The sequence below is a fragment of the Homo sapiens genome, chromosome 2 (assembly GCF_000001405.40).
Source record: "Homo sapiens chromosome 2, GRCh38.p14 Primary Assembly".
Classification (NCBI taxonomy): Eukaryota; Metazoa; Chordata; class Mammalia; order Primates; family Hominidae; genus Homo; species Homo sapiens.
Genome location: NC_000002.12, coordinates 19,661,276 through 19,684,403, shown reverse-complemented (window position 1 = coordinate 19,684,403; position 23,128 = coordinate 19,661,276). Strand labels below are relative to the sequence as shown.

The window sequence follows — 23,128 nt, the reverse complement described above, 5'->3', positions numbered from 1 at the left end:
AGACCCTGTCTCAAATAATAATAATAATGATAAATAAAGACAAAGAGAGGCAGAGCAGGACATAATGAAAACCATCTTTTGCAGAGTTCCTGTCTATGCCAGGAGCTTTACAAGACTGTCTCTAATCCTGACCCTTGCCCTGTGGAAGACATACCCTAATTCCCAATTCCTGATCAAGGAAACTAGCAGTGGTACTCACTGGTAAGTAACAGAGCTGGGATTTGAAGTCAGGAGGATTTGATGCTGAAGTGCCTGATCATTTTATGCAGCCTCTTATAGATGCAGAATGTACAATTTTCACAGAGGGATCCTCAGAAGCTAATGAACCCAAGTTTGTCATTTTATAGATAAGGAATCTGAGGCCAGAAAAAGGAGGGGGAATTATTTAAAACCATCAGGCCAGAGAAGAAATTAGCCTAGTTCTTCTGACCTTTAGTCTAGTGGAATGTCAGGATCTCAGCCTTAAAATAGAATCTTCCAAATTGCCACACCTGTTGTGTACTACTTTTGATGGTTATTATCTTTGGCAGTGCTTCCTTGACATGAATGAATTCTACATGAATTTTGAAGTTGTTTTAGAATATATTTTATACATTATTCATAACATATTTATGTAGCTTGTTTTAAAGCCAAGAGAAACCTAGAGCAATAGCTTCTGCTTTTTGGCTGTGACCCTACATTTTATATCTTATACACACATATATGTAAAAATTGTACATTATATGAATAATTGAAACATGTTTTCTGAAATAGTACTTGTCCTTACTCTGTGTGACACACTTTGGTATTTTCTATTTTCATTTACTCTGTTCTATTTTGTTAAAAATATTCTGGTTATGAACCATCTAAATTGATTTCATGACAAACTAATGAACGGTTCATGACCTACAGTTTGAGACATTATGGCCTAAAACAATGTCAACATCAAACATGATTTAAGAAAAAAGTCATTACAGAGGAGATAGAAAGTTGCCAATTATCTTTGGTCATAAAGGTAAAAATAGTAAGCTTTGAGTTTCATAACATCAAAAAAGAGATTGTATACTTGTAAAAAACAAAGTGGCACAGACTTGGATTCTCTGCAGACCATGGCAGATCTGTGATGCTCCTGGTATTATGTGATGCTGAGTTTTATTTTCTGCCTGGATTTCTGAACTAACTGGATACAGCTACAGATACAGACTAGAGTGGTTGCTAGAACTGCAATGCAGTAGGCCCAGAGCCTGCCTCTCCCTGACCCAGGCAGATGGCCTCTAGTCTCAGGCCCTAGGAAGTGCCCAAGGTGTGTAGAGTGTACATTCATTCCATATAGTGGTGTGTAATTAAGGTCTGATGCTTTATATATTAGCATGATGGTAGGCAACTGACCCTCCAGATCCCCTCCAGAAGCTTGTGCTAATTTCACCTGATGTCGCCAGCTTCCTTAGGTTTGCACTACTTCTTCCTGTAGTCTCTCTTCTTTAGCCTCCTTTCTCCAAAGGGGTATGGAATGGCTGCTCCCACTGACTCCTGACTCCTCCTCCTTATAGCTCCTTCCATTGGTACATCAGCCTACTACACGACAACCAAGTTTTCTCTTACTTCTTTTAGGATCTATATTTTCTCCATCTATCCAACCATCCACATCCATCAGTGCTTCATGCTAGGAAAGTTTTGTCTTAGGGTTAATATTTAATCCAAGACCTGACTCATGAGAATGACACACAACTGAAGACCTGGCAGAACATCATAAGGAAAAAAAAAAAAGGCAAGTGCAGAGCCCTAAGGCAGAAACAGGTCTGGCATGTTTAAAAAGTGAAAGAGCCAAATTGGTAGAGCAAAGGGACCATGGGGAGAGTGGTACCTGATGAGATTGGAGAAGGTGTTGACCAATCAGAGCAGTCATGAACAGGTAGAGACCAAGTCATGAGGGGCCTTGTGGATCATAGTAAGGTATTTGAAATTTATTTTTGTTGTAGTGGGAAATCATTGAAAACCTTTAAAAAGAGGAGCAACACAATTGGATTTACGACTTAAAAAGACTTGCTCTATAAAACTACAATGAGATACCACCACACACAGGTCAGAGTGGTCAAAATCCAAAACACTGAGAGCATCGAATGCTGGTGAGGATGTGGAGCAACAGGAAGTCTCTCATTGCTGGTTGCTGTGCAAAAATGGTACAGCCACTTTGAAAGATACTTTGGCAGTTTCTTACAGAAGTAAACATATTCTTAGCATATGATCCAGCAATTGTGCTTGGTATTTACTCTAATGAGTTGAAAACTTATGTCCACACTTGTGGCCACACAAAAACCTGCACAGAGATGTTTATAGCAGTTTTATTCTTAATTGTCAAAAATTAGAAGCAACCACAATGTCCATCAGTAGGTGAATAGATAAATAAACTGTGGTAGATCCAGACAAGGGAATATTATTCAGCACTGAAAAAAAGTGAGGTGTCAAGTCATGTAAAGATATGGAGGCAACTTAAATATGTATTACTAAGTGAAAGGAGCCAATCTGAAAAGGCTGCATACTGTGTGTGTGTGTGTGTATACATATACATACATATACATATACCATTCTAGCTGGTGTGTGAAGAGTAGATTGTATAGGGTCAAGAATCAAGAAAGGAGGCAGGAAGTCCAGTTAGAAGGACCTTACAGTAGACCAGTTGAGAGATGTCAGGGACTTAGATTAAGATTTTGATGATTAATATTGTGAGAAGTAGTCAAATTTGGGATATACTTGGAAACATTGTCACCAGGACCTGCCAGTGAATTAAACATGGAGTATGAGGGAAAGAGAGCAATCAAGGGTGATTTTAAGATTGCTGGCTTCAACAATTGTGCAAGTAATAATGTCATGGACAAAGATGAAGACTTAGGGAAGAGGAGATTTGATGTGTGTGTGTGTGTGTGTGTGTGTGTGTGTGCACAACAGGGTAGTAGGGTAGAGAGAGAGAGCAGGAGGGAGAAAGCTATCAATAGATCTTTTGGGACCATATAAGATTTGAAATGCCGATGACCATGTGGAGACAGTTTCAAATATCTGTCTGGAATTTGTGGGAGATGTATAAACTAGTGTATAGGTTTGGGACTATCAAAGCAATGATGCTGGTTATAATAATGAGACTGAAATCATCCAGAGGGAGAAAGTAGTTGGGAAGAGATGAAGGCTGCATTCAGAGCCCTAGGTTGAGCACAATAGGAGATTACAGCAAAGGAGAAGGAATGGTCATTAAGGTAGATGAAAGACAAGACAAGAATAACATCTTAAGAACTTAGAAAAGAATGCATTTCAATTTCCTCCTCCTAAGAGGTTAAATGTGTTGAGGACTGAAAACTTATCAGTGGTCTTGGCAAAACGTAAGTCTTTGGCAACCATGATAAGAGCCATTTTTGGTGGGTAGAAATGATGTAAGCCCAGCTGGGGTGAGTTGAAGAGTCAGTGGGAGATAAGGGGGTAATTGCAGGAACAAGGTCCTGAGAAGCTGAGAGGAGATGAATTCTGGAGCAGAGAGAATGGTTTGTTTTGCTTGGAGGAGAAACAACATATTTTCACCATATCCCTATGGCAAGAGAGTGAGTGATGGCGGGAGACATTTGCTGAGAGTGAGGTTTTAGATGTTTAAGGGAGTAGAGAAGATCTATTCTAGAAGAGAGACAATGTAGAGAAGACAGCATAGTTGTCTTGGAGACTTGGAAAGCGAATCCACCAGGCAAGAAAGTAGGATTACTGGAAGTGTAGACACCTGTGCTTACAAATGTAAAGCAAATCCAATCATCATGATCATGATGTGATTTCCCCAGCAGTGTTGGTTCATTGGGTACAGACTCAGAGTAAGCAGATGGCTGGTTTTATTCACGTTCAGATCTTTCTGGGCTAGTGTGATATACAGAGAAAATGGGGTAAAGGAGGTAAACATGTGTTAGGGGGTAGATATAGTGCTGACCAAGGCACCTGAGCTGGATGGGGAAGAGGATGAGATCATGTGTGTGTGGGAAGTAGGGGGTGAGTAGGTGATGGTGGTGAGAAAGGGAAAGGGACCATGGATTGAGCATCTCAGTGAGGTCCGCATTGCTGGAGTGGGTGCTCTTGAATAAGAGAAGAGGTGGTCATAGAGAGGAGCAGCTTGACATCGCAGAGGGGATGCAGTTATTGGTCGGAGTAACTGGATGAAAAGATAGAAAGTAACCATGGGAGTTGGTGGCTGTGGTGGGATGGAGGAAAAGATCATTGAATCGGATGGAATCAAGAAATGGAGGCACCGATGTGCTGTGCATAGGTTTTCTATCCATGTGGATGTTAACATGTTAACAACAAGAGCCACATGCTAAAGTCATCAATGAATGGGGAGGAAGAATGGGGAGAACTGTAAATGACCAAGGTGAACAGTGGGTGGTCAAGTCTGATGACTTGCACTTCAAAGAAGCAAGGGCTTTGAAGGAGGAAGAGGCAATGGGAAGCAAAGAGGACACCTACCTCCCTTAAGACCCTTTAGGTGTAGAAGGGAAAATACAGCATCTAGTTGACAGGATTCCAGGGCAAACAATGTCTTTGGGGATGGTTAGAACAAGATGGAGAAGGGATTGTCCCCAAAGGAGGTGATGACTGAGCAGGCTCTGGAAAGAGGGGACATGCTAGTTAACTAGATGAACAAGGCAGGGAAGGGCTTTCTATGCAGAAGGAAACTTGTGTGCAAATTGTTCCAAAACAAGAAAAAGCACAACGTAATTGAGAGGCATAAGAGCCCTTTACAGATGCCTTTGGGGTGGCTATAAAGAGTGGGAAGGGCAAGCTAAGACTGGGAGAGACTGGGTGCCATGTGAAAGAACTAGGACTTCAGGAGCCCTTGGAGAGTTCTAAAGAGAGGAACAACATTGGGTTTCAGAAAGATCACTGGGGCATCAGCATGGAGCATGAAGAGGCTGGGGACCACACTCGAGGCATGGAGACTGTCTGGGGGCTGTTGCCACAGTCCCTAAAGACAGCTGGGAGGGCTCATCTCTCTGGATGGGGATATTTTGACTCCCTGTGCCTGTCTCTTAGAATCTGGGTAGATTTTTGAGGCTGATTATTCCCACACATACTTTAAGGATGGATTAACTCTAATTGCCTGCTAAGAAATGGACTAACTGGTTGTATTCTGGAAAGGGGCTGGGCGTCCATTTTCAGAGAAAGAAAAAGGGAGGCCAGAAGTGTATTTTCCTTCTTGTTCTGTTTCCTGGATGGGACTTAGGACCACCAAGAGACAAATAAGCATAAAAGATGATGGATCTGAGGTGGGGGAGGAGAGGGCCATAGGGGGTGGCACCTTTCTGGGCACAGATGTGAGCAGGCCTCAGCTCTGTCATTAAGGACTTTTCCTGTGTGCATTAAATTCACTCCATGCAGAACTGTGCCCTGCCATTTACCCCTTTACCCCTCACTGGCTGCCACCTGTCTTCTAACCCCCACAGTACCTGGCCTGTGGCTGTGGTAAGTGTTCTGTGTTATTTGCCCTTGGCAGTAACTTTTCTGAGGCCTTTTCCTCCACATAATTCCCATGTGGAGCCATCTTGGTTAGTAAGCTGTTTGAAGCAATTTGTCATGTTGGAGTTTTAAACGAGAAAAGGAAGGCACAGGGATGCCTCTTTCCTCAAAGCCAATCACAAACAGTTTTTCTGAACATTTAAAAATATTAGATCTGGAGTTCAAAACTGAGTGTCACTTCAGCAGTCATTTATGACGCTCCATATCCTGCCCATCCGAGTTCAGCTTCAGCTACAGACTCTGGGCTTAGTTTCCAGAGGCCCCCGCAGGCTGCACCATGAGTGAGGACTGTCTGAACTCCATCTTGAGCCCGGAACAAGCCCAGAGTTTGCTCTCTGGCCTTAGGTTAGCTGGAGTGGGGGAACATGGAGGGAACACAGGTTAGCTGGGAGAGTGGGACAAGGTACACGAGGGCCGTGGAGGCCGGGCATGACGTTTAAATCTTACAGACCAGGGGAGTGACCAAAAGAGTCGTCTGTGTGTGAAGGAACTGAAATGATTGGAGCTGGCCTTGCTCGACTGTCACCTCTTCCGGGACAGCTCTTGACGGAAGCACTGACCTTAGCATGGGCTCCTGGGCAGCCTGCCACAGAGCCGTCATCTCTGGGCAGCAGCAAAGGACTGTCAGTTGGTTGGGAAGGTGGACTATGTCTCCCTTGGGCTGAGGTCATTATGAGAGCGTATGTGACCCTAGACACTGAAGCTACACAAGATTCAGCCACAAACCTCACTTGGGCCAAGGACTCCAGCGTCTTACCCAGGCCCTTGGTCCAGAATAATCGTTGCTGCCTAAAAGCAACAAGAACATTTTGTCTCATTGTTTTGCTTCAGTCTCCTTGGGCACAGGCATCTGGCAACAGACACTGAGCTTCCTTAGCCACAGGGCACAGTTCTGTAGACTCGAGGCTGGGGTTGAGGCTGCTCCACCAACGGCAGGAGTCCTGGGCTTCCCCAGAGTAAGCAGCAATCCTGCTCCTGGAGATGGCCTCAGAGCCGAGACCTGGCCGCCCTGGAGCTGCTTTCTGATGCACACTTTCCCTTCCTTGTGCCCTCCTTACTCGCCCCCATACCCCTCCCCGCCCCACACACAAGCCTCAGTTACTCACTACACCATTCACACACAAACACATCCGGCCTGATGCACATGCATGGTCACACACATACACCACAGTACACACCACACACTTTACCACCCATCCCTCCATAGCACGGGTCCTCCCACACACCATACCCACCACACCATACCCATGCTCCCACTTACACTGGGTCACTGCCTCTCAACTGCCAGCCAGCACACACCTCACAGGTAGGTTCCCCCAATGTCATACTCTCCACACGACTGCACACACCACTCCCTCGGGGTGCCAGGCAGTGACACACCTGTCATCAAGCTTTTGATGGGGGTCTCCACCCAAAGCCACATGCCCTCAGCACTGCTTGCTCAGCCTTCTGTTATAACCAGGGCAGCTGGGGATGGCCCTGCCAAAATTGTCAGGGGGTTGATGATGTGTCTACGTGAGAGAGAGAGAGAGAGAGAGAGAGAGAGGAGAAGGGCATGATTTGGAAAATACTTCCAGAATTTGAAAGCAAACTTATAATATTTCCTCAATTTGTGATCCATTTGTGGCCCTCATGTTGCTAAATATTGCATGATAGAGTAAACATTTGGCAAGACCTGCAGGTTTTATTTAGAAGATTGGGGAGAAAAAAGCTACTCAACAAGGAGTGAGCTGGTGTGTCCAGGAGAGATAAAAGGTATTGTGCATGGAAGATTTTAGTGGAAATGGGAAACCAGGGCCCTGAGCAGATCTGTCAGCCAGTTACAGGAAGGACTAAACCTTTTAGCTGGCTGGGGAGACCGGCTCTGTGTCCTGGTGCTTCCCCCAACTCACGTGTAGGTGGCGTCTTCCCACTGACTGTCCAGGGGCCAGGCAAACACTGGAGCATCTTCATCAGAGAGGCATTTGGGGGGCACGCCATAGATTACCTGAAGCTCTTCTCCGCCCCTCCAAGTGTGGCAGGTTTTTAAAATCCAACTGCGGGCTACCTCCCAGGATGGCTTCCTTGACCTCTGTTCTCACTCCTCAGAGCTCCATTAGCACCAACAGCCTGGAGCCTGGAACTTGACAATTCATCTGCAGTGTTCCCTAAGCAACATGATGAACCCAAAGCTGTACTAGAGATGGAGGAGAGAGCAGTAATCAAGGCAGACTTGCTTCCTGCTACTGTGGGGGACAGAGATAGTAAATAATAATAATAATAATAATAATAATAATAATAATAATAATAACAACAACAACAACAACACATGGTTGAGAAACGCCAGAGGAGTGATTTGTGTCGTAACTCTCAGAGAACAGAACCGTTATAGGAAAGACAAGTATTGTTTTCTAGAAAAAAGAAGAAAGGGGAGGAGTAGAAAAACTTGAATTGTATATCTGGGAAAGAAGTGCCATTTTTTTCCCGAGCCAGTTCAGCATATTGAAACTTGCAGTTGTCGGCGCCTAGTGGAAGTGCAGTCTTTCCTCTGAATTCGTGGCAGCTTCTGGAGCAAATGGCCAGGCCTGGACTTTCTTCGGGGCAAGGGCAGTCGTAAAGCGGCACAAATGCTAGCTGGCTGGTGCTGGGCACCAGGGCGCCGTGCCAATGCTAACCTGCCAGTGTGCTAACCTGAAGCAAGGTAGCAAGACTTGCTGCATCTTCTAGACCCTGCAAGACATGCTGCTCATAATGGGAACTGGAACTTCACCACTGAGGGTAGAGATGATCAGATAGAAGGGTTCCAGGTGCCTTCTCCAAAGAACAGATGCTCTTGGAGAATGATCTTTGCGTGGGCTGAGAAGTGGTGAGGAGCCCTAGGCTATTCTGCACAGATGGTGGACTCTGCTCCACGCCAAGGAAGGCTTATGGTGAGGAAGAATGACTCACGACGATGCTAAATGCAGTGAGGATAAAAGCAGTGTCACTTGGTCAGGGATTGTTTCTTGGATCCTCTAATTCACTTACTCTCTAATGGTCATCTCTTATCACTGACTTCTGCGTCCCATTGATTTTGGAGTGTGTATGTATTAGGGTAAATGTCTGCTACTTTTTAGAATCTTGGAATCATAGACTTTTGGGGCTGGAAGTATCCTTAGAGATCATGAATCCCACGCTTTTATTTTTGATAGATGGTGAATGGAAGGCCAGAGAAGGGAAGGAACTTGCCCAGGTTCATACAACAGGCTAGCGGCAGAGGTGGGTCCCAGGCTTCTTGCCTCCCGGGACAGGGCTCGCTGACTTTGCCTAATTACCCAAATCTGTCCCAATCTGAAATCAGAGTCTCTGGCTAGGGATCTAACAGCATTCCGGAACCCAGTCGTAAATCCCCAAGCCCCGCAGCCACTCTGCTCTGACATTTGTTGTGTTTTACTGCCAAATGCTGCTGCTCAGAGATGCCATCTCCGGAGGGAGAAATTCTTGAAAGAGACACACCCCTTTTTTCCCTTTCCCAAATTAGGAGTTAATTAGTACCAAAATGTGCAGTGCGTTGACCGGCCTTCCACTGGGTTCCCAAAGCAGAGAACTGTCTCATTTTGAAAGTACCTAATTGTGCCTGCATCTCTGTTTGGAGAAGGGAGTCTCTAGGTCTGGTCCAGGCACCCTCAGGGACAGATCTGTTAACTCGCTGTCACCTTCTTTTGAGATACAATCATCTTGTAACTCTGAGCAATAAAACGAGTAATTGTAGGCCTTTTGAAGCAAGGCTGTGTGCCCTGGCCGGTTTGTTTGCCCTGAAAAGCCTCCAGTCTGGGTGGCTGGCCCCATCGCCTGCTCATCCATCTGCCCAGAGACTTCTTCCAAACCCCCACCGTCTCACTCCTCACTTCAAGCTCACAGGGAGCCCCCTCCTTTTAATCCACGTTTTTTGTTTTGTTTTGTTTTGTTTTGTTTTGTTGTTGTTGTCGTTGTTGTTCCCAGGGCTCCACATTTCAGCAATAATTTTTTTACCCAAATGTCTAGCTGTTGGCCTAGGGAGGCTCTCCTTCCTCGCAGTTGGAAGAAAGCTGTGTCTGTCTGTTGGAATGCAAGCTTCCCAGAAAAGCTGTGGGTGCCCCAGTTCCACGTTTTGTACCCCCCCTACCCCACGCCCCCGAGCTATCCTCTATGCCAGCTCCTCTGTCCGGGAACTTTTGAGTGTCATGGGGCTGGGGGTGTCAGCCCATAGTGGGTAGGAGGGTCGCTCGGTTCAGGAACAACATTTGTATGACTTTGAATTTAAATGAAGGTCTCAAAAGACAAAACTAATTAAGATTTACTCAGGCCGCCATTGTCTGATAATGCAGTACCAGCTCATTATTGGAACCACATTTATGGAGGTTTAATCACTATGAGACAGACTGCTCTGGCATAGCTGTCAAACCACACAAAATGTGTTTTTAATAATTAATCAGTACAGTATCTTGTCATTGTAGCATTCATCTCAGGCTTGGGTGTGTTTTTAAAGGGATGCTGTCAATGTACTTTTGAAATTCTGTCGTCTTTTGTTTTTAATAACTCTTCAGATCCTTTAAGCAAGGGGAAAGGAAAAAACATTCCTCCATGAATTCCATCCCTGAACCCCTCATGATGAACAAATTCTGGAATGTGATTGAAGCGTTCCTGGGATCCGGTGCTGAGCTGCTGACATTTTGTTTTTCAAAGGAAGAAAAAAAAGTTGTGCATTCAATATTTGTTTTCTTTTCATGGAATCTGCAGGCGTCGAAGGATGGTGAGTTAGGCTTGGGGTAGAGGCTCTTTCTGTCTTTAAGGCTGTAAGCCTGGGATCTCACGTATAGGCACTCAGGCAAAGGTGTTTTGAGCAGGCTGCGGTTTTTAGATAAAGCTGTGGCTTTGGAAGAGACCTACTGAGTGAAACTTGGATTTTGACTATTTTCCCTACTTGGGCTGGGGAAGGCCAGGAAGAGCTGTGCTTTCTCTGCCCCGGAGACCTCCCTCTCACCTTGCTACCATACAGAGGGTTTGTGAGGATCAGACAGAATCACCTATATGGAGTTACTTTTCATTCTGTCCAATGTCTCCCCTAAGCCCGCAGCTGGGAGATTGTCACTGTCTTTAATACTAAGATTGTCATTGGGTTGATGTAAACAGTGCAGGTCCAGACTGAGTTGGCTTGAGTTCAAATCTTGGCTTAGTGCCAGCCAGCTGTTTGATCTTAAGTAAGTCATTTGTCCTTTATTAAGTCGCAGGTTCCCTGCCTACAAGCTAAGGATGACATTTGTGGCTGCTTCACTGGTTCCTGTGGAGTCAAAGAGATGATTCATGTAAGAAGCTCAGCACACTGCTGGGAGCATGCGGCCCTCAGGGAGCATTAGTGTAGGTTGTTGTCAGTGCATGAGCCCCGGTGGCCTTTGCCCTCCTTTCCCTTGGCCTTAGAGCTCGCTGGTGTGAGAATTTGCCTGAGCAATCTTACATCGGTCAGAGGGGCCCTGAGGCCGGCAGTCCCCTTTTGCTCTGTCATCTCAGTTTCTATCTGTATTTGTCTAAGGCAGTGGCTCTCATCCAGGGGCCGTTTTGTTCCCCAGGGGACATTTGGCAATGTCTGGAGACACTTTTAGTTGTCAGAATATTGCGGAGGGAGGGGCGACGTGTTGTGGGCATCTAGTTGGCAGAGGCCAGAGATGCTGCTAAACGTTCTACAGTGCACAAGACAGCCCCTACAACGGCATTATCTGGCCCCAAATGTGGTGCTACAGTTAAGAAACCCCATTCCAAAGCTACCTCTCCTTACCATGAGGTTCTGAATAAAAAGGCCCGTACCTACACTCAGATGGTGACATTCTTAGGAGGATCACAGAAGGTTAACTAATTCACAAACAAGAGGCCCTGGTGCAGTAGAACAAGACAAAAAGCACCGTTCTGGGTCTGCTAATTCCGTGGCCATGTATTACCTCTGAGGGATTCATCAAAAGGAGAAAGGGGACCCTCCCTTCCACTCCCAGCCCTATATTCAATGCCCCAGGATGGAGTTGCTGGCCAGATATCAGGGCCATACTGTGCCTTGTTGTTGCTCAGTTTCCTCATAAGACTGTCTAGACAGTCAGAAACTGCCCTTGGCTCTACACCATGCCCAAAACAGCTTCCTGGAATTCCTGAACTCTCTCACCTCTCCATGCCTATCATAGGTACCCACGTTCTTGGCCTGGGTTCTGACCTTGATAAATGGCTCTGTGTCCACTGAGTGCCCTCAACAGTCCATTGAGAACCATGTTTGATGACATGGGTGTGTAGTTAGCCATTCTTGGTACTTCCACCCCTGTGGGGGCTGACGGGCTCCAGATCTGTACTGCAGGGCTTATTTCTCCCCCTGGGACCACTGTCTGTTGCCCTAGCCAGATTATCTGGGGAGATCGTCTCCTGTAGCAGAGAATTCACTTGGGGTGACAATCAAGGTTTAAAAAACGATGGCCAGTCTTGCTGCCTTAGAGAGGTTTGCAGATGGATCGATTAGACCTGAGTACCTCTCTGCTTCTGAAGTGTGTCTAGTCAGTGCCCAGCTGGAAAATTCAAAGTGCAGGCTCTGGAACCCTGCACTCATTGCCCTGCAGCTCTTATGGAGGCCAGCCCAGAGGCGGAGAGAATCTCTGCTGGGGGTTAGGTTGATGGGATGACGTATACTAGGAAAACAGGCTCAAAATGTTTCCCTGGGACTTTTGCAGCCATGGCTCCAGTTGTAACAATACTAAGATTGCTTCTTCCCTCCTCATCCCACTGTGGCCTGGGTGTAGGTGAGAAAGGGACAGTTGTGTGACTCATTCTTAATCTATCCCAAGAACCTACCTTCTTCCAACTAGGGCAGGGAGCATCACATGGCTCGTCCCATTTATAAAGAGCCCTTTATGACCCACCACGTCCTTCCACTCCTGTGAGCTTTCTGAGATCCACCATAATGGACAGTTAAATACTCTCTGCATATAAGGAGGTAGGCTCAGAGAGGTTAAATGCCTTCCCCAAGGCAACCAGCTAGAGAGGAACAGAGCTAAGACTCAAAGCCAGGACGTCTAATTTCCCTTGAAGAGGGGACCTAGGAGAAGCCCTGCATGATCTAAAGCAAGGCAGCTCCAGCCAGTACTACGCTGTCCAAGGCAATGCATTTTAGAGGACTCCACTTGGACCCTTGTCCGACCATTCACTCCTAGGACAAAGAGTCTTTCAGGTTGATGGAATGTGTTCATCCTAAACCTGGTCCCACTCCACCCTCACATGCTTTGGGTTCCTAAGACATTGGAATTCTCTGCTCCAGTGGCCTTGAGTCCACCTCCAGAGCCTGTGTGGTCCTCTCCTTGGGAGGGCAGACCTGGCTGCTGATATGTGAAACCCTAGGCCCCAGGTGGGCTCAAGGGGTGGCTGTTTGTGGGGATGCACATGGAGCTTGAACGTGTGGCCTGCTGACTATGATGGTAAATGGGCCTCCTTATATATTCTAGCCTTGGGCTAGAAGTCCTGGTTCAGTCTTGGAGGCTCTGTGGTCCCAGAGCTGTACACAGCCTAAGCCTACATCATCAATGCAGCTACCCACCCTCCCCCAGCCTCACCTTCCACCATCTGGGCTGTTCCTGAAGCAGCAGCCTCTGATCACAGTCTCCCTCCCACCCATCACACGCTGCCATATTGTTGGAGTCGAAAGAATAGGAAAGCACTTGGAATGTGACTGAAACCGTATGTAGCTGTATATTGTTTTTCCCAGAAAAGAATCCTAATTAGGTCAATTCCATATTGCTCCTATGGTCTCAGATGCACAGTAAAGCAGGCCTTCACAGTATACAAACAGCCTCTGTCTCTGAGGATGGAGGGAAGGGGAGAGACTGCCTCGAAAAAGACCCCACATGCTAATACAGAATGGATTCGTCACAATCACTGAGACCTGATGAGCCACTCAGTGTGGACTAACTTATTGTAAGCCCTCAACAAACGCAAAAGCCTTAACCCAGCAGTAACTTGCCAGAGACCATATCCAATAGGACCTGTGTCTTTTTCTTTGCATTTAATGTGTTCTGAGGTTCAGGGGGGCTATTTTCCCAATTGTTACACATCTCTTTCTTTAGCTTTGATCTGAGCTCCTCATACACATCCCAGCACTGGGACTTTCAGCAGCAGGCGTCCTGGAAGCCTACTTTGGTAACAGGACCTAGGTAAGCCATGCTATTCTGCAAAGGGAACAATTATGTTCCCCCAAACACACAGAAGCATCAGAATTCACAGCATGCACTTTACAAGGGCAATAAAGTTTTATATGCAGCTCAGTGAAATACCGAATACAGCCAATTGTCCACCAAAATAAACTGATGGGAGAGAGAATGGCTATATTTGGCTCAGACTTAATTATTTTGCATTTGTACTTCTCAATTCCATGTAATAAAATTCCATTCTGCCCTTATTTCCTGGTTAGGTTACTTAATCTCAACTTCGGTAACTGAGCCCTTGAGTGGAGTAGACTGTCCAATGTCAGTGGTAAGAAAATGTGAAAGGTTTGACATCAATTACAACATTACACACAACATAAAATTTAACAACTTGAATCAGGCTTTCATTGCTCTTTAAAGAGACCGTATGGCTTTTTAAGATCTAAAAATTAATCAGTTTCTAAGAGTCATACCTTTTTGAAAGTCCCAGATTTTACTCTTAGCTTGAGAGGTAAGAGGGAACCTGTCTCTATCTCTGTCATCTCTCTTTCATTTTAAAAAATCGCCTCCCTTTCATTTAAAAAAATGTTCCCCTTTTCATTTAAAAAATGCTATCTAAGTTCTTTTGTTTTTATTTTTCTAGGGAGGTGATTTTCCTTTAATGAAAGAAAAAGTGAAGGATATAGAAATTGAATTGTTGTGCTAAGGTTTTAAGTTTTTGGGGGGACCATGGCAAAAACACAATGATCTTACATTTGGCCACGAATGAGGGCACCCCGGGCAGCAGCCAGTGGCGTCACTAGGACCAGGAAGGCTCTGAGGACCCCTGCTTTGTGGTCTGTGTCAGAATCTGTATGGCAGCTTTCACTCCATTGCTACTTGACACTTGATCGTCTCATAAAACACCACATGTAATTCAGCAGTGTCGGCCCATAACAGGCCAACATGTGGCAAGAACAGGAGTAAATGACCTGCCTCCTTTAATAAGTGTGGTCTCTGCAGGTCAGCCCTGAGGTCAAAGGCAGAGCAACAGGGCAGACAGGGCGGCAGCTGTGCGTTCTGGCAGAACACGGGAACTGAGCCTGGTGAAGATATGTCTGCTTTCTTTCTGCTTCTCTCAAGACGGATGATGTATAAAGTGAGATTGTAAACTGACTGAACGTGGTTGCATGTCCTATTTGAATTTGTATTCCCAGCATAACTTGGATCATGGCACACTGAATGAACGTCTTAGACACAAATAACCATACTGATAGACCGATGTGATGCCCCATCATCCTTCAGTGTTGCCATCACCCTGATATCCCCTGATCTTGTCACGGAAAGGCATGCATCAGGAAGTTTCTGTTAACCATGGGCCGAACGCTGAGTGCTCTTTGAGGAAGGAGGATGCATGCCAGAGTGTGTTGAGGACTTGAGTGACCACAGCAGGGTCCCTCTCTGCGTCCATCCTGCTGCATCTTATTCCTAGAGATTTCCCATCTGCTCTGCCCGGTTTGGAAGAAATAGGCATCTTCTTCATATAAGAGTCCTCTCTGCAGGGCACCATTCACCTGGCCCATCCTTTCCTTTGCCAATCAGTGCTGCCCAAACTACAGCAGACAATCACATTCTGCCCTAACATGCTCATGAGCCTTAAATAAAAAGTGTTCTGAAAATCCCAGTAATTGCTTTGACCTTTGAAATATTGTTTTCTTGTATGAAAACCTGAGGATAAAGCTGGTCAGTTTGATAATGGTCACATGTTATCACATGCAGCTAAACCCTTGGTAAGGTCAGGACTTAATTACCAGAGACTCAAGAACCAGCAGCCCTCAGAAAAGGTCAACTGGGGTTTCTCCTTTTTTCTCCAACCACAGCATCTACAAGAAAAAGGCAAAAAAAAAAAAAAAGAAAAAAGAAAAGAAAAGAAAAGAAAAAGCAACATAGTACACCTGTGCCAAAGGATTAGTCTGGAAAGCAATATACAGGGTATGCCTCCTTGGGGGCATCATCGTCAGGACAATCTCCCTCTTTGTCCCTAGTCCTATTTGTGGGACTCTGGGGAAAATGAGTCCCCTGTACTCATGTGTGGGAGCCACCATGCCTAGCACCAGGGCTAATGCATTTTAGAAAAACTTGAAACACATCACAAAGGTATAAACAGAAGTTTAGGCTTCAACCACAGATAGCCAGAAAACGAAATTAACCCTCGGCACTAACACGCACTACCTTCTGTGATGAATGTTTTAAATCGACTTACATTTTTTGGAGCAGTTTTGAGTTTGCAGCAAAATTGAGCAGAAAATGCAGAAAGCTCCCATAACCTCCTGTCCTGCAAACACATCCTTCCCCACTATCAATTTGGGTCACCATAATGGTACATTTGTTACAACTGATGAGCCTTCGTTGACAAATCATTATCACTCAAAGTCAGTAGTTTACATGAAAGTTCACTTTTGGTGTTGTTTATTTCATGGGTTTTGATAAATGTATAATAACATGTATCTGACATTTGAATTTGGTTTTTACTTAAGTTGTCTTTTACAAAAGGTAATTTTGGTAACAACCCAATTAAAAAAAATCCTCATTTAAAAAAATCACAAAATAAAAGAAATCTTGCTATTTAAAATATTTTAATTAATATCTGAATTTACTGTTATTCCTTCTGGAAATAAATTAGTGATGGAATAAATAATGAATATAGACAGCAGTGGTACTATCCATTAGAAAACATTTAATCCACAACCGGGAGAATTAGAGGCAACAAAACCATTTTTATTACCATGCTTATCACAAATCCCCCACATAATTTTATGAGAAAGGTCATTAAACTTGTAGCTACTGCATTATCTTTTTCCTTGGACCATTTCTGAAACAACATTAGTTTTTCACACTTCTTTACATTTCAAACATTAAAAAAGCCTTAATCGATGCTTTTACATAAAAAGCAAAGGGCTAGGTTTCCCACCATAAAACGTTATGTTGTTTACACAAAAACTGCAGCTAACCTCGTAAAACTCAAGTGATTTCCCAGTGGGGTCCTGCAGGGACACTTGGCTATAGCAGGCGCCACACTGATTTCCAACGCTGAGGCAAAGCGTACTTCCTGTGGAAAGCTGTTCTCAGCTCCGGCCATTACTAATCAGGCTTTTCGACTGGGGCACCCCAAACAGGCATCTTCTCTCCATTCAAGGCCTGCAAAAGACACCTCTAAGCAACTAGGAAAACAATGTAAGGTAGAAAAATTCCACACAAATATTAATTCTTGCAGTCCCATTCATCTTTATCTCCAGACTCCTGAGACCAGAGCTTTCTGGAACCCCTACTGCGTCCTTGGGGTCAGCTTCCAGGACAACTCTCTTGGATAGAAATGATAGAATGTCTTTGGAGAGAAGAACTGCCCACTGGTATCACACTTTCCCAGAAACCACATGTTCTTTCAAAACCTTCCATTAGGTGTCAGCGGCTCTTAAAATATACGAATGGCAAGATTTTTTAAATCTTTGCTTCCTGAAGTTGAGTAATCAAGCCAAAATGCTCTGGAAAGCTAAAAGTCATTGACTGTTTTCAAATGTCTGGTTTTCAGATAAAAACCAGGATAGGTATTTTTTTTAAAAGTTAATTGCTGCTTCTCTTATGAGAGTGAATATATGAACCACTTTTCCAGTTTTAAGTTTGAAGGTTGGGTGTTTGCTTTCAATCATGCATAACAATTTATTTGCAACTTCAGGGAATTGTTTTCATGTAGAATAATTTTGTAAATAAGGGATATTTTAAGAATCTACCTCATGACCACCTTCTTTGTGGATACTCACTCAGGAATCTCACTAGACCATCCCTTATTATACTGAGCAGATACAGGGAGAATAACACAAATAACACAAGTGCTTTCTTTTTTTTTTTTTTTTTTTTTTTGAGACAGAGTCTCATTTTGTCACCCAGGCTGGAGTGCAGTGGTGCGATCTCGGCTCCCTGCAACCTCCACCTCCCGGGTTCAAGCGGTACTCCTGACTCAGCCTCCCAAGAAGCTGGGACTACAGGTGCCCGTCACCATGCCCAGGTAATTTTTGTATTTTCAGTAGAAATGGGGTTTCACCATGTTGGCCAAGCTAGTCTTGAACTCCTGACCTCAGGTGATCTGCCTACCTTGGTCTCCAAAAGTGCTGGGATTATAGGTGTGAGCCACTGCGCCAGGCCCACAACAGTGTCTTTGAAGCTATCGAGCAAGAAGGATTTACTCTGCCTTATATGATTCCAAAGTGTTTACATGTTGAGGACTTTGGAACTCAACTTTGTTTCTTTCGAGCCAGAATTAGAACATGGGCCTTCTAACTACAGAACCCTTCTCTTGAAGATTATGCTATAGTGCCCTTGAGGAAGTATAGAGGGAAGAAGAGCCAGGCCTAGTCTTCCTCAAGATAAGTTTAAAGTCTAGTTGGGAATATAAAACAGAAATGCATACATGAAGACTAATAATACAAGGTAATTGTTGATGGGATGGTGTGGTTAATAAATACTGATGACAAACAAAGAAGCTAAGTTGTTAGGGATGGTTTGCTATTAATAGATGACCTGGGACTTTATCTGGGACTTAAAAGATCAGTAAGATTCATCTAGGCATAAGAAAGAGAAAAGGCCAGTGATGACCAGACAGATCAGATAGGATAGAGTACAGCTTAAGTATGGAAAGATAGGCTAGGGTCAAATTATGGAGAATCTTGAAAGGCAAACTGTGGATTTTGGAGAGGCTGGAGTAGACACTCGCTAAACTTTAGTTTTCTCTCTCTCGATGTCTTTCTGTGCTAGGTGCTATAGTTTCCTGAAAGGGTAATAATAATTATTTTTAAAGTGGTCTAATAATGTACTGACTTGTTTTTCTGCTTTTCCTGGATCTTTTGGAATAATGGTACATTAATTTCATAATAGTCCAAATAATCTTTATGGACATGATATACAAGTAGTCCTTTTTCCTGGGGGCATAAGTACATTCTCCTAGCCAATCTCACGTAGACTATATGGTCTCAGTGTCCACCATTTTTCCTCTTCAGTTATTTTAAAAGTATCATAAAGATTATTTTTGCGCAACTATATAGGGTGCATAGAAGCGTTTACTTTTTATGTTTTAAAGGATTTTTAGTGTGTCCGAGAACAGTTGGAGATTTCCTTCATCTAAAGTCCATAGCTCTGGGGTCCTTGAAGGTAAATGCAGTCCTTCTCTAATCAGATTTTCACTTTAAACAAAAAAGTTCTGTGATTCCTCCAAGGCATGGAAGGATGAGAGTTTCTAATCAGATGAGCTCCCATTTGTCTTTCAAATTTCACAATCCTACAAGGAAGCTTTGCTCACAGTTGTGTGAAGGTGATTCTGAAAGCTGAAGGGAGTTAGACATGGGAAGATAATTCCCAAAATAGTGAAAAGGAAGATTTTATTATTTTGTTGCTTTTTTTCCTTTTTGGTAAGAAGGAATTTGGTGGAGTTAGTTATTTGGCAGTGCATGTTTGGGCTGAAAACATCAATTTTCTTTGCCAAGCTTCCTAAAAATAGTCTTTCTTCAGGCGAGGGCCCTCTCAACGTGAGCAGTGTTCATATGAAATAGGACATGTTGCGTTAATGTAATTACCTATTGACCTGAAGATTTCAATTGCAATGAGACAAAAAATGTGGAATTATACTTCTTGCAAAGTTATGAGCTCTCCTTGTTCTGTGTGTTTAACAATAAGTTCTTTCATGACGTGACACCATGGTAGTGGGTGGTGAAATCCGATACCTGGCAAAAATACAATGGAATTATATAATACCAAAAAAGTCGATTGTTTTCCCTTTGGCTAATTAACTCCTCTGACCAGGGAAGTACTGAGGATGAGGTCAGCTGGTGGCTTTTGTTCTCCAAGTAGTTTCCATGCCCTTTTAGTCACTGCCTGAATAGTGTGTGGTTATAAAAGGAAGAAGTCCAGGTACTACTGGAGCACAACCTAGAATGGGTGTTGCTATGGTTTGGTAGCAGCTTTACTGACTTCATGGAATTCGTCTTGCTGGGATCCTGCCCATCACTCAGGCTTGAGTCAGTAAGTCAATGTCCATAGCTCTGCTCCTTCATTTCCCCAGGATTTTTTGCACACTGGTATATAATAGTGCAGGGGCACACAGGACTATTTAAGAAAATATATATACATTTTTTTTTTTTGCCAGCTAGAGGCCTGACATGAGAATTTTGATATAATTGGGATGCAAACAACCCAAATGCAGTAATTGTTGTTGTTCTTATCTTACAGATGGGAAAAACGAAGTTTAGAGGATAATGTACTGATTTGTTTTTTCTGCTTTTCCCAGGTGTTTTGGAATAATCATACATTAATTTGTAATAGTCCAAATAATCTTTGTGATTTTTTTAAAAGAACTGAAGAGGAAAGATGGTGGACACTGAGACCATATAGTCTATGTGAGATTGGCTAGGAGGATGTACTTATGACCCCAGGAAAGGGATGGAATACTTGAACAAAACACAGAGAAAGCAAATCATAAAGCAAGTAATTGATACATTTGCCTATATTAAAATTACAAACTTCTGCATGATAAAAGAAACCATAGACAAAGGGAAAGACAAGCTATTGAATGGGAGATGTTTTCACCACATATGCTAACAAAGGACTAGTATCTGAAACATATTAGAAAGTTCCTGCAAATCAGTAACGGCAAGAACAGTAGCTCAAGAGTGAGAAAAGTAGCTGAATACAAATAATCAACTAATTTTGTTTGGCAACTCACAGAAAACATTACTGTCCAGTAAAAATACAAGAAGATGCTCAAACTCATGAGAATGAAGGAAAACAATAAATGCCATTTAACACTCATCCATTTGGCAAAAATGGAAAAGTCTGACACAACCAAGTGTTACAAATAAAGATGTAGAAAATGAGGAAATTGGCAGGGGGCAGTGGCTCACACCTGTAATCCCAGCACTTTGGGAGGCTGAGGTGGGTGGATCACCTGAGGTCAGGAGTTTGAGACCAGCTTGGCCAACATGGTGAAACCCTGTCTCTGCTAAAAATACAAAAATTAGCCGGGTGTGGTGGCATGCCTGCAATCCCAGCTACTGGGGAGGCTGAGGCAGGAGAATTGCTTGAACCTGATAGGCGGTGGTTGTAGTGAGCTGAGATTGCGCCATTGCACTCCAGCCTGGGCAACAAGAGCAAAACTCTGTCCAAAAAAAAAAAAAAAGGAAAGAAAATGAGGAAATTATACAGTGCTGGTAAAAGTGTACCTTGGTGCAAGTACTTCTAGGTGTATGTCTTAGAGAAATGTCCTATATTTGTAAAAGGTACATTAACAAGTATGTTCCTAGTCTGTAATAACATTGCCTATAATAGCAAAAACCTTGGGATCAACTTAATTATATAAAAATACATTCTATACTGATGAATCTTAAGAACATTCATTGAGAAAAAACACAATTTTTAAAATGATGTATTCAATATGGTACGATTTCTATCCATTTAAAATTTCTAAACAGTGCTTTATATTACTGTGTGTATACATATGTGGTAAACGTATAAAAATCTGCCTGAGAGGCACACAGAACAATTTCTAATAGTGGTTGCCTTTGCAGTTGAAGAAAGGGAGAGGATTAGGAGTTGGGAGGTTGCTAACTATATTTGTAGTGTTTTATATCTTTTAAAAACAATTGCTCTTTTTTAATTTACCAAAAACTGAAAAAATACGAATATGTATGAAATCTGGGAAGTGGGTATACAGGTCTCTGCTACATTATTTCCAACACTTTTTGCTATAGTCTGAATGTTAGTGTCACCCCAAAATTCATATATTGAAACCTAATCACCAATCAGTTGGTATTAGGAGATAGGGCTTTTGGGAAGTGATTAGGTCATAAAATCAGATCCCTTGTGAATGGAATTAGTGTCCTTATAAAAGAGGCCCCAGAGAGTTGCCTTGCCCCTTCCATCATGTGAGGACACAGCTAGAAGCCACCATCTGTGAACCAGAAAGAGACCTCTCACCAGACACCAAATGTGCTGGTACCTTGATCTTGGACTTCCTAGCCCCCAGAACTGTGAGAAATAAATTTGCTTATAAGCTACTCAGTTTATGGTATGGTACTCAGTTGTTGATAAGCTACTCTGTTTATAGTATTTTGTTATAGCAGCCTGAGTGGACTAAGACACTTTTGTCCATGTTTAAAATAATTAATAATTTTAAAATTAATAATAAAAATGAAATAAGACAGTAACAGATTGGAAAGCAATTTATTAACTATAACCAAACATAAATAATTTCATGACCGACAATATAATAGAAAGCTGTTCTTAATTTTTTACTTTAGTAGAAAAATTTAGACCACAGACAAAGAGGAACTTGCAGACCATGAATGCTATTTAGACACTAAGACTATTGTGTAGTATTTGGGATACCCTTTTAAAATAACTTGAAAAGGAGGCTGGAGTCCCATCTGTCTGAAATGGTTTAGGTTAAAGCTTCTTGTTTTGCGATTCTTCTGATCAAAACTGTGACATTACCCTGGGGTGAAGCAGGGGGATCTGTGTTGCCTAGTATTCTGCACTGAGGCTGGTGTAAAAATGTCATCATATGGTCCACCAACCATGGAATCCATGAGCTGGAGGTCTGAGGTATTAGTGACACAACCCCTCTTTTTTTTTTTTGAGACAGAGTTTTGCTCTTCTCGCCCAGGCTGGAGTGCAGTGGCACCATCTTGGCTCACTGCAACCTCCGCCTCCCAGGTTCAAGTGATTCTCGTGCCTTAGCCTCCCAAGTAGCTGGGATTACAGGCATGCACCACCATGTCCAGCTAATTTTTGTATTGTTAGTAGAGAAGGGGTTTCTCCATGTTGGTCAGGCTGATCTCAAGCTCCCAACCTCAGGTGATCTGCCCGCCTCGGCCTCCCAAAGTGCTGAGATTACAGGCATGAGCCACCGCACTCGGCCACAACCCCTCATTTTATAGGTGAGAAAGTGGGGAGTTATTAGGGGAGATGTCGCCAACTTGTTAGTAGCAGAACCAGGGCAGGAAAACTTGTTGCCTGCTCACAGATGGTTTTCTTTTCTTTTTTTTTTTAATACTCTCTTGCATCTGAAATATTCTGACTTCAGGGTTTCTTTTTTTTTCTTTCTTCTTCTACTAGAAATGAAGATGGCATATGGAAAGGCGATTCTTATACTCAGAAGGAAAAGTTCCCATGGAAGCCATGGATTCATTCATGACAAAGTGGGTGGCCTGTTTGTTTGCTTGAGGCAAGTCTTTGGAAGTTTTTCTTTTCTTTTTTTTTGCACAGAGAAAAACGCTTTAGTAGTTTTCTGGCAAAATACCAGGTTTATTGATTGAGAGTGACAAACTATTTTCCAGTTTGTAATTGGTAAATATAAAAATAGTGCCTTGACGGATGTGTGAGGCACAGGAGTTACTCATTTCACCCAACTAATAGCTAATTACAGA

The 23,128-nt window shown here is 43.4% G+C and overlaps 1 protein-coding gene across 3 annotated transcripts in view; it reads left to right on the top strand.

The window, feature by feature from the left end:
- Positions 1-23,128, top strand: part of LOC124905977 (uncharacterized) — an 82,330-nt gene that overhangs the window by 20,761 nt on the left and 38,441 nt on the right. The window contains exons 1-2 of one of the 3 annotated variants that reach the window (XM_047446558.1): positions 9,903-10,267; positions 22,818-22,900. In XM_047446558.1, the coding sequence (XP_047302514.1) occupies positions 10,099-10,267; positions 22,818-22,900 (252 nt within the window). In that variant the 5' untranslated portion in view covers positions 9,903-10,098. Of the gene's footprint in view, positions 1-9,902; positions 10,268-22,817; positions 22,927-23,128 lie in introns of those variants that run through there. The other 2 variants (XM_047446557.1, XR_007086240.1) reach the window with 2 other exon arrangements.